Raw genomic sequence first — 12,190 nt, forward strand, 5'->3', positions numbered from 1 at the left:
CATTATCTCAAAAGAGGAATCCAGCTTCCTTGGTTTTTGCCAAAGCCCAAATCAATAAGCATCTGCTTTCTGCTGCATTTGCAATTGGCCCTACTGGCAGCAGGGAATGTTGAGCACGTAGAAGCCATGAGCCCCCACCTAGCTCAGGACTTGTTCTGGATTGTAGAGACTGTTCCTTTGTAGGGGAGAAGGAACTGGGGGTTCGGAGGGGTGGGAGAAGTGGAGGCTGGGGCTCTGTGTTGCCCTGTTTCCTTGTGAGATAACTAGGAAGTCTGGGCAATTTTTAAGTTCCCATCATTAATTACAATTTTGTTTTTTTTGCTGGGGGGAGTGGGCGGAGAAGGAGGGGAAGTTGGAAAGGGGTTGCTCTCTGGAAGTTATGAGACCCTGGAAAGAGAGAAGACATATTCAAAGAAAATTGAGACAAATTTTTTTTTTTTTTTTTTTTTTTGAGGCGGAGTCTCGCTCTGTCCCCTGGGCTGGAGTGCAGTGGCACCATCTTGGCTCACTGCAAGCTCTGCCTCCCAGGTTCACACCATTCTCCTGCCTCAGCTTCCTGAGTAGCTGGGACTACAGGTGCCTGCCACCACACCCGGCTAATTTTTTGTATTTTTAGTAGAGATGGGGTTTCACCATGTTAGCCAGGATGGTCTCGATCTTCTGACCTCGTGATCCGCCCACCTCAGCCTCCCAAAGTACTGGGATTACAGGCATGAGCCACTGCGCCTAGCCAAATTGAGACAAATTCTAAAGATTGTTTATAACCTCAAAATTAGTTCCATGCCCTTGATGCCAGAAGCATTTCTCCTCTGGTACAGAAAAGGCAAGTTTGCATGTTGACATTAGACTCTAGTCTCTTTAAGGTAAAATTCAGGTTCTACTGATCTTTGAAGCCTTGGCATCCAGCATGAAGCATGACATAGAGTAGGTGCTTAATACTTGTAGGTGACAGAGTGAACATCAGATGAGCAAGCAGAATACATGCTGAGCACCATCAGCTTTTCTGGATATGTGGGAAATTTAATCTTTTCTCAATACGATCCCAGCCTTTCTCTACCCAGAGACAAGCTGTTATCTGCAAAAAGTAGCAGAATTACATTCAACATCCAGACCTGCGATAGTGGCTTGAAAAGGTGTGCGACGTGTTGAATTTCAATCCCTTTGCTGAAAATAAATGGAAAAATGTGTTATCGCTGCTCGTGTCTCTTTGGCTTATCATGTCTTTAACAGTTTTGTTAAAAAGGGAATTCAGTCTTCAGACCACTGGGAAACTATCAAGCTTTGGCTAGAGCAGGAATTTTCAACCCTGGTGGTATGCTGGAGCCTCCTGAGGGGTTTAAAAGAATCCCAACACACAGGTGCACTCTACACCAATTGCATCTGAGTTTTGGCAAGTGGGATCCTGGACAAGCTCTCCAGGTAACTCAGATGTGGGCAGCCTAGGCTGAGACACCCCTGAGTTGGCATTTACCCATGCTGGAGCACTAGCGCCAAATAGCTGCTCCTCCGATTGCAAAATAGCAGTCAAACCAGGGGGCTCTGGAGAGTGGAAATAATAATCCTGTGGATTACAGTATTTGATTACAGTCAGCACTTTTTATTTTTGGCAGTGGTTCCAACAAGTCAAGCAAACCCTGAATCTTTATATAAAAAAGTCATTTAGTTGGATTAAAGCTTTATTGCTTTTTGCCAACTTTTGAATTGGGTGGAAACTATTAGTGCTAGAGAAATGTCATGATTTCTTTCAGAGCAAGGTTTGTGTTACAGTTTTCCGAATCCCCAGCTCCTAGAATGAGGCCTGCCATGTGGTAGCTAGTCAAAAACGCTACAATAATTACAGTAGCTGCTGCTTGCTGGGTACCTACTGTTACACTGAACACCTCATGTAATCTTCAAAACAACCATATGAGGTAGGTCCTATTAGTATCTTCCTTTAGGAAGGTGAAGAAGGCAGAATTCTAAGACGATGCCAACATTCTGCCCCCTATTGTGCCTGCCCTATATAATCCCCTCTCCTTGAATGTGGGCCAGACCCATGAATATGATGGGATGTCGCTCCTGTGATTATATGATGGCAAAGGTGAAGAACTCTTGCAGATGTGACTAAGTTTCCTTATCAGCTGACTCTAAAGTAATCAAAAGGGAGCTTATCTTGGGTAGGCCTGGCCTTATCAGGTGAGCCCTTTAAAAGAAGTGTTAGAGATTGGAGGCCTGCTAATAAGCAAGTCACCGTGAGTACTAATGCTGTAAGGAAATAGATTCTGCTGACATCCCAGAGCTCCAGATAAGACTCTGAGTAAGAGGACTTAGCTAAGACACCCAGATTCCCAACCCACAGAAACCATGACATAATAAACAGGTGTTGTTTTAAGCCACTAAATATGTGATAATTTGTTATGCAGCAATAGAACACTAATACACCAGTGGAAAAGTCATGATACAGAGAGGTTAAAGGGCTTGGCCAATGATCCACATTATGAGCTGGTGGAGCTGGGAGTGAAACCCTGACATTTCTGACCCCAAGCTGTTTAATCATGTCACCATCACCACCATTTATTTATAAAATGAGGCTCATTTGCACTAGCCCACTGGCTTTCTGAAAGCTATAAACTGGGACAAAACCAAGGTGGATTCAAAGTCTTGCTTGCTTTGTGCAATGATGTGGAATTAGAGGCAGGAGCTGCCAGCATATGCCACACATGTGGAGGGTCAGGGCCAGAGGCGTGGAAATGGTGTCTTTTCCAGATCCACACTCCAAGCTGTGCCCCCAAGTTGGTACGTATGTCAGTCGTGAACAAGAGAAGGACTGAAGAAGGCTGTTTTAATCACAACTGGGACCTCAAAGGCCAATTTACTGAACATCAAATAAACCTTAAGAAAGAAAGAGATGGGGCTGTGGTCGCCTGGTGACAACCATATCTGCTTTGCTCCAGCTGAGAGGCGAGGGTGTTGGCCTACATTTCTGATCAGATCCAGAATTTAAACATCATAATTATACAGTGGTCCTTTCTTAAAGAAAAGCTAAGCTTTACTTTCATTAGTAATGTACATTTTAGTCCAGCTTTTCCATTTTCTTTTTTTCTTTTTTTTTTTTTTTTGAGATGGAGTCTTGCTCTGTCGCCCAAGCTGGAGTGCAGTGGCACGATCTCAGCCCACTGCAGGCTCCATTTCCCAGGTTCACACCATTCTGCTGCCTCAGCCTCCCGAGTAGCTGGGACTACAGGTGCCCGCCACTATGCCTGGCTAATTTTTTTTGTATTTTTAGTAGAGATGGGGTTTCACTGTGTTAGCCAGGATGGTCTCGATCTCCTGACCTCGTGATCTGCCCACCTTGGCTTCCCAAAGTGCTAGGATTACAGGCATGAGCCACCACGCCCGGCCCAGCTTTTCCATTTTCTTAAGGAGATTGATAGAGAGAACTTTTAAGATTTGGTTATTCTCAGACTGGGGCCACATGGGCTCTCTTGCAGGATATTGGCTGTGCTGGGTGGCCAAAGCCAGCTTTTGTCAACAGAGGTGTGTGTTCTTGTGTTGGCTTCTAAATGGTTCCTCAGAGAGGTGGTCACCACCCCCTCTGTCATCTTGTGCAAAGGCCATGGGTGTCCTGCACCAGAGCATTCCATAGGTATTTATAAGCTGAATGGTGCTGTGTGAGCTCCGATGAGCAATGTAACTCTGGAACTGCCCACGACGTGGACTTTGACTCGAAGGTAGTTGAACCCTACTCTACCCTCTGGCAGCTGTGTAACCTTGGGCAAGTCACTTGACTTGTCTTAGCCTTCATTTCCTCTTCTATAAAACAGGGATAATAATGTTTGGGCGGACCTCCTACTCAGTATCCATTCTCCTCTCTTCTTCAGTAGGAGGAGCCTAACTGTGGGATGAAGTTAGTGTGCTCTAACTAAAACCATTTCATTGTCTTGATGCTGGGATGGCTGTAAGACCTATCTCTGGCTAGTGAGAAGTGAAAGTCTACTGGTAAAGAAGGGGTGTCTTGGAAAGTTATCATTTTCCTGTACTCAGCTAGAATGTTCCTTTTCATTTTCCCTTTACCTGCATGTCCTCTTCCTACCTGGAATGTAGATGTGATGTCCTGAGGTGAGCAGCCATCCTGTGAGCCTAAGGATAAGGAGGAGCAGAAAGCTATGAATGGTTTGGGTCTCTGATGGCATCATGGAGCCACCCACCAGCCCTTCCCTGCCTTCCTTTGGACATCTTAACACATGGTGGAAATATACTTCTCTTTCTATTGGTGATCTTTTTTTTTCTTTTTATCCCTTCAGGCCAAATGCAATTCTAGCTGATGTAAAAACCTGCCTCATAAGGTACCTTCCCAAATATTTGAAAATACTCAGTGAGCCATCAGATGTTAACATATGCAAGAAGTCATTTGACAACTTTATTATTAAAGATCCCTTTCTAGAGATATAATCAGTGTGAAAGGAGAAGAGACAGGGATGTCTCTCTTCTTCAGTACTGACTTGTGGGAAGTAAATATCCTGGTATGGTATGGGAATGTGTGGCCAAAATATAATTTAATCAGAGTAACGAATTGCCCATCAGGCCTAATGTGTCTAATTTTGACTGAGGCAGGGAAGACCCAAGAAAGAGTTGCTCTCTGTCTTTGAACACCCCTTGCCTGAGAGAGAGTTCACTTGAGATCTAGAAAATATGTAGGGATTTGGGGTAAGACAAGTGGGCAGTAACCAATGTATACCCCAGCAAGGCCATTTTAATGGACTCACAGTTCCACGTAGCTGGGGAGGCCTCACAATCATGGCGGAAGATGAAGGAAGAGCAAAGCCATGTCTTACATGGTGGCAGTCAAGACAGCTTGTGCAGGGTAACTCCCCTTTATAAAACTATCAGATCTTGTGAGACTTATTCACCATCACGAAAACAGCACAGGAAAGACCTGGCCCCATGATTCAATTACCTCCCACTGGGTCCCCCCATGACATATGGGAATTCTGGGAGCTACAATTCAAGATGAGATTTGGGTGGGGACACAGCCAAACCATATCAGACATCATCTGCATCAATAGACACCAGATATTATGGAACAAGAAGGGGATGAGCACACTTTTCTCTCCTCAGTCCAGTCACAGCCAAACCCCTGAATTTAGCTCAAGGGCTTGACTCCAGTAGGCACCTGGACCAACCAACTGGGGCTCAGTCAGAGGAAAGTGATGAGGATGGGGCAGAAAACCAAAACCCTGTTTGTTATTTAGGGCCATGACTATAGGAGTAGGAATAATGGCCTGAAGAAAAGTGGACCCAGTGGAGGACATGACAGTTATTTTCAAATCTGAAGGGCTTCCACATAGAGCAAGGATCAATCTCCTCTGGCTCAGTCCCAGTGGGTGGAATTGGAACCAATGGTAAAAACTTCCAGGTTGCAATATTTGGATTTGGGTTGGGATTTGGATCTGTATATGTCAAAGACACAGTGACCCATCTCAGTGGCTGGTCCCACTGCTGGGGGTATTTAAGCACATATGGAACTACCACTTGCTGGGATGTTGTACAGGGATCCCAGCATGCATTCACCTGTTGGCTTCTTCACTCAATGAACTAATTGATTTCTTTTAGTTAATGGTTAATTAACTAACAGTTAATTAACTGTTAATAGTTAATTAACAATTAGTGGTGCCTGCCATGTGTCAGGCTCTTACAGCCTGGTCTGACTGACTACAACCTTTGAAATCTCTACTAACTTTGTGATTCTTTGATACTCTGAGTATAATTAGTTCCATTTTGCATGGGGGAAACTGATGTACCAAGATCCGGAGTGAGTTGTACAAAGCCACGGAACACATATGTAGCGGACTCTTCATTTTCTCTGAGCTTTTGCTCTCTCTAGTCTCCTTTCTTTTTCAAACGGCTGTTTCTTTCAGAGAAAAAAAAAACACGCAAAAAAACCATCTGGGCTTGGCGAGCACGTTTGGGGAGGATGTGCAGTTACCCAGTATTGGTCGGAAAGATGTGTTTTCCTGACTCTGGACAAATTGAAGCAAGCTCTCCCTTTGATCTGCAATCTTCCAAATTTCCCCAGATACCCCCAAGCAGAGGCAGATTATATGCAAGGGCTGTGGTTCAGATTTGATGGAACACATGGCTTTCTCACTGGGGCGTGGCTGTGGATTCTTCAGATTCAGTCGCCCCCGCTATTCTCTGCACTTACATTCCAAAAATTGCTGTAGAAACCACACACCTCCAAGAAAGCCAATTTCTTTTTAAACATTTGTGAATCTTTCTCTCTCTCTCTCACACACACACAGACACACACACACTACCCCACTCCATAGCCAATCTTTACATCTTATATCTGTGGCTTTTCTCTTTTAGGACCTCTTGCCTGGCAGAACCTCCATGGGTTGGGAGCACCTCATCAGGCAATGAAAGCCAACCTTACTTTTGCAGCTGGGCATCTCATAAGGAAGGAGCAGGGCCATTCAGCTCAAGCCTCTATTCCTCCGTGGTGCATCAGGCTTGCAAGATGTAGCAAGAGCAAATTAGCAGCTGTGTAAGACTGTCTGACGCTGGTAAAAGCATCTGTTGGGAAACTTGCTTTGTAATTTCCTGAGCATTTAGGGTCAGAAGTGGGTAGAAACCCCCAAATGGAAGAAAAGCCTAATTGCTTTCAAGTGGGAGAAAAATAAGAAACAGACAAGCTCGCATGGGTGCAGTGTGTGGATTCTGAACTGCAGGCCTCTGGGGTAAATGTTTCCAAAGCAATACTTTCTTAGGGAGCAAGAACTCACTTTCTCATGAAATGATTTATTTGGCACAGACTGGACCATATGTGGGTGGGAGTGGTGATCAAATTCACCCTCCCAACATTGCTCTGTAAGGCTGGAGATGAGTTGGAGAATGATGGATCGGAGCCCATTAGTGAGTTCTCTGTGTTAGTGTATTGGATCATCTTTCTTGGTTTTAGTCACCAACGAGTTTTCAGCACCCGGAACAGTGCCTGACACATAGTGGGTGCTCAACAAACATTTGTTGAATGACAGAATGAATGCACTTTTGTGTCCTAAGCTCTCTCTAAAGTTTCTATGTCTTAGTTGGCTCTGTATTTGGTTGATATCTGAAATGGAGGTTAAAAACAACAACAACAACAATAGAAAAAAGGAATTTTGATCTCTAGACAGAACTTGAGAGAAATATAAACTGGGGAGGCTGAAAGAAAATAAGGGAGCCAACATCGCTGCGTAGGGATGTTTGGCGAGGCCACGGCTCATATGCAGACCATTGGAAAGTGTCTCAGCCTGGTATAGGCCTGTCGTTTCTCTCACATACCTTTGAAGTTTGCATCTCACTCTGAACTCTGCAGTGAAGATTTTGCCCTTGCTTTGCTTCAAGGCCAAGGCCTTTATCCTGAGATCAAGGGTCTTCCCTCTCTCTCCTATCACTTTCGCTACATCTCTTTTCTTCTCTTTCCCTACACTGCAATTCTCCTTAATAGCTAGTTTCAGTTCTGGATGGTAAGATTGGGCTTCGCGAAAGACCCATTTCGAAACTCTCTCTTAACAAATTCACATCTTGACAGCTTTCATTGGCCTGAATGTGATTAAAGCTGAGACTTCAGGGAATCGAAACTGTGATTTCCAAAAAGCACACAGCATCTGCATAACTAAAAACCCTCTCTGACTGTATGTGACTGGAGCTCTAGAGGAAATTTGGAGAATTTATGTACCCCCCCTTTGCCAGCTGCAGTTTGTCACTCTCTTTAGTACTTGGAGTAATAGCTCTATGTTAATAGTCACAAAGGGTTGCATATTTTACTTACTAAATGAGGCTTAAAGATAAAACACCTTCTTTCTTTCCCTCCTCCATCAATAAGGCACACTTAGCAGAAACATCATGTAGAGCTATTTGCAAAAGGCTTGATTTCTTTAGCTGGAGAAAGAAATGGAAACACAAAGACGACTTGCCTATGTGCCTTCCCAAGCTCTCTTGGCATAGAGAGCACAGGCTCCTCTGTGTGTTGAATCCAAGGTTAGTAAGTCAGAGCTCTGAGAGCCATGGCAAGGATAGGTGATTCCTTAGGTAATAGGTTAGGCAGGGGAGGAGGGACAAAGAGAGGCGGAAAAAAGAGAAAAAAATTTACAAGACGAGAAAAGAGGAGAGGTGGTAACATGCTTCCAGACAGCTCAGCTGCCTTTCTGTGCATCAGCTCATGACTGTGGCCTGCTGCTCTAGACACCAAATCCCCAGCTGATTCATTCCTCTTGAAGAGATGCCTCATTGGCTAGTGACTGCTCCCTGCCTTAATGGGATGTGCCTGGGGCTCAGATATGTGGTTTGCTAAGCTTGGAGACTGAACCCAACCGGGAGGAGCCCAACTCCACAGATACAAAGGCAATAAATGCGACAAAGAGTGGGGGGCCCTTGGCCAGAATCAAGCTAGTCCCTGGAGGTGGTGCTCTCTACATTTCCTTCAAATGATCAGATTCTCTCATTGAGAAGATGGGGCTGAGTCTCCAGGACCCAGGATGCCATATGCAGCTACTGAGCTAGTGGCATGCACAGGCTTTGGTTTTATTGGAAGTCGTCCTCTTTGGCCCAACACCAGATAATACCTAAATATGAGAATTAGAGTTTTCAAGCCAGATTCCAGTCGTGGGTAGTAGTAGCTATGCAGACTTGCTGTTTACAACTTTTTTTTTTTTTTTTTTTTTTTTGAGACGGAGTTTTGCTCCTGTTGCCCAGGCTGGAGTGCAATGGCACAATCTTGGCTCACTGCAACCTCCACCTCCTGGGTTCAAGCAATTTTCCTGCCTCAGCCTCCCGAGTAGCTGGGATTGCAGGCACCTGCCACCATACATGGCTAATTTTGTATTTTTAGTAGAGACGGGGTTTCTCCATGTTGGTTAGGCTGGTCTCGAGCTCCTGACCTCAGGTGATCTGCCTGCCTTGGCCTCCCAAAGTGCTGGGATTACAGGCGTGAGCCACCGTGCCTGGCTTTTTTTTTTTTTCTTTGTCTTGTCCTAGGACATTAGCTCTGGCCTTGTCCCAAAAGGCCCTAGCTCCAGGACTCCATTTCATAAACTGAAATGCACCAGGGCTGGGTCTGCAGCCCCGGGCTGGCCTTACCCTTTGCATCTTTACACAGTTCTGCTTTGCTGAGAGAAGGGCTTTGTTCGGCAGCCTTATCTTCTGCCTCCTTTGTCTTGTCCTCAGTGCTCCAGGCACCCTCCCACTTCTGCAACGCCTGACTGGGAGGCAAGTGCCCGTCTTCAGGTAGGCCCTCTTGCCTCTTGTTCCCATCCTTCCTCTCACGGAGAAATCTGGACAGAGAAACATCCACCCTCAGGTGTGATGTGCTGAGTGACTCAACAAACCTCAGTGGGTGACCCATCATGTGGTCACAAGAGGAAGATGTTGAACTGGAACCCCCAACTTCATGAAAAATGACTTAATCTAGAAAGGAAAGAAATGAGCCGGGCGCGGCTGCTCACACCTGTAATCCCGGCACTTTGGGAGGTTGAGGCAAGAGTTTGAGACCAGCCTGGGCAATATAACGAGACCTGGTCTCTACAAAAAAGCTGAAACATTAGCTGGGTGTGGTGGTGCATGCCTGTGGTCCCAGCTACTCCAGAAGCTGCGGCAGGAGGACCACTTGAGCCCAGGAGGTTGAGGCTGCAGTGAGCTATGGTGGCGTCACTGCACTATAGCCTGGGTGACACTGTACTCCACATTGAGTGACCCTGTCTCAAAAAAAAAAAAAAAAGAAAGAAAGAATACTGTCAGCTTATTCTTGCAAAAGATAGTAATTCCCACTTAATAGTCTCATTAAGTGGGAATACTCTTCTAAATAGTAAGACGATTGGAGAACAGGTTTTCCACACTAATGCTTCCAGTGGTGACAACAAAGTATTTCATTTTAGAGTAAGTAGGGTCAACATACTGCATGTTAGACTGTGTTTTCTGTTTTTCAGTTCACATTATGTTAATTATTCATTTATATATTTTTAGTAATGACCAGTTGTGCTATATGTAATGGTCAGTTTTCATGCCTATCTCCACTGTTAGATTATATGTTCCATGAGGTCAGAATTCTGCAAACCTTGTTCACCAATGTACCCCTACCATGTAGTACTATATCTGGCAAAAGGTAGATGCTCAATTTGTATTTGTTGGATGGATGGATGGAGGGATAGATGGATGGATTACAAAGTATTGGATGAAGGTAGAGAGGAAACATAGATAGTAGACTGTAGACTCTAAATATTAACTATGAAGAAGAGAGAGTTAATAGTGGTGCTTTTTTTTTTTTTTTTTTTTTTTTGAAACAGAGTCTTGCTCAGTCACCCAGGCTGGAGGTCACTGACCTGTTCTCAGCCCACTGTAACTTCCGCCTCCCAGGTTCAAGCCATTTGCGTGCCTCAGCCTCCTGAGTAGCTGGGATTACAGGCTTGTGCCACCACGCCTGGCTAATTTTTGTATATTTAGTAGAGACAGGGTTTCACCATGTTGGCCAGGCTGGTCTCGAACTGCTGACTTCAAGTCATCCACCTGCCTCCAAGTCATCCGCCTGCCTCAGCCTCCCAAAGTGTCAGGATTACAGGCTTGAGCCACAGCACCCGGCCGATAGTGGTGCATTTTTAATCAACCTCAAGTCCACAGTGATGACCAGAGTGAGTCAGGAGCAGAAAGTCAAGGGCGTGCTTCTTCACCCAAGAAGGTTGTGTTTGGGATTGTTCAAGAGTGTCCTGCTGCATAGTAAGGGCTCAGACAACAGGCCATGACGTTGCTTTGGCATTTTCTGGGTAGCCCACCTACAGAAGCACTAAGTGGCAACATATTTGGTAGGTTTAATATATTTTTTTCCCTGAGAGCCAAAGAAATTTAATCTGAAAACAAGGATCCTGGAGGTGATAATTAGAAGAGAATGGTTAATAATAGAGTCCCAACTGGAGCCTTATACTCACATCAGACATGGGAACTATCCTCATCCATATTGGATAGAAACCTGAAATTTTCTCATGCCATCCAGATTAAAAAAAGATGCATCATTTTTCATTTGAGTTGCAACTTGGTGCCTACAGTTGTGTTTTTTGAAGCTTCTATTCATTTCTGATGGTTCTTTTACTCCTCTCAAAAGACTCAGCTTAAGCGGTTTATGTGTTGCACAGTTGTGACTAGCTGGGCAGTTTTTTTTTTAGGAAAACAAAATTGTTAGGCTTGGAAAAACATCTGCTCTGCGTCTGTTCGTTAGATTCCGCCAACTTTTTTAGCAAGTTGTGACATTTGAACTGACAACCCTAAGGCATATTTCGGAACATTAAGGAAATCTATGCTCAATAAATAGGTTATTATACATCTCTCCAGTGTCCCACTGAAGAATCTGAAAGTGCTTCTTTCGCTTTGGGATTCTTGTTTATAAACTTGTAGCTCAGCATTCCCATCTATCGTATCAAGAAGATATGCAAATGATGTGAGCCCACAGGACTCAGTTAAGCCATGCCTTGTCAAGATGAATAGTTATCCAGTGACTGCTGGTGAGCTGAGATGCCCTCCCTGGGAACAAATTCTGGCACTTAAAAATCATACTCATAAAATGTTGAAGAGAAGAGAATGCTTTTTAAAGGCCCCCATGTCAAAGAACCTGTGGGGGAACTGACCAGATTTCCATCTGTTTCAAATTAAACGTGTTTATTATCTTTGCGTCATGCTCCCCAGCTCAGCATAATCAGTTAGAAAAAGATCTTCTGTGATCTTAGCGGAAAGCATGTTTTTATAAGTTTATCTGGCTGCTTGCTTCCTTACACAAGCCAGCGATATTTCTTCCTTCATTTTGACTCTGAGTTGTGCTTTACTGGAGGTAAAGCATGATGTTGGTGGGCTCTATTCATTTGGCACTTATTTTCTGTTTCCTGTCATGCCCCTGAATCTATGCTACATTTTGGGGATACAGTGGGAACAAGATACTCAGTAAGTAAATATATAAGTAAAGTAATTATAGTTTGCAAAAGTTGCCCTAAAGGAAATAAACATGGGAGACAGAGACAATCAAGCCAAGATTGTCAAGGACAATCTTTAGATTGGGTGGTTAGAAAAGAATTTAGAGCTGAGGCATGAAGGCTAAGAACAAGCCTCTCAAATAGAAATGGAAGGATGAGGATTCCAGGCAGAAGAAACAGCATCTGCAAAGGCTTTGAGATAGTCAAAGCCTATCAAAGCC

The sequence above is a fragment of the Homo sapiens genome, chromosome 17 (genome assembly GCF_000001405.40).
Source record: "Homo sapiens chromosome 17, GRCh38.p14 Primary Assembly".
Taxonomy (NCBI): Eukaryota; Metazoa; Chordata; class Mammalia; order Primates; family Hominidae; genus Homo; species Homo sapiens.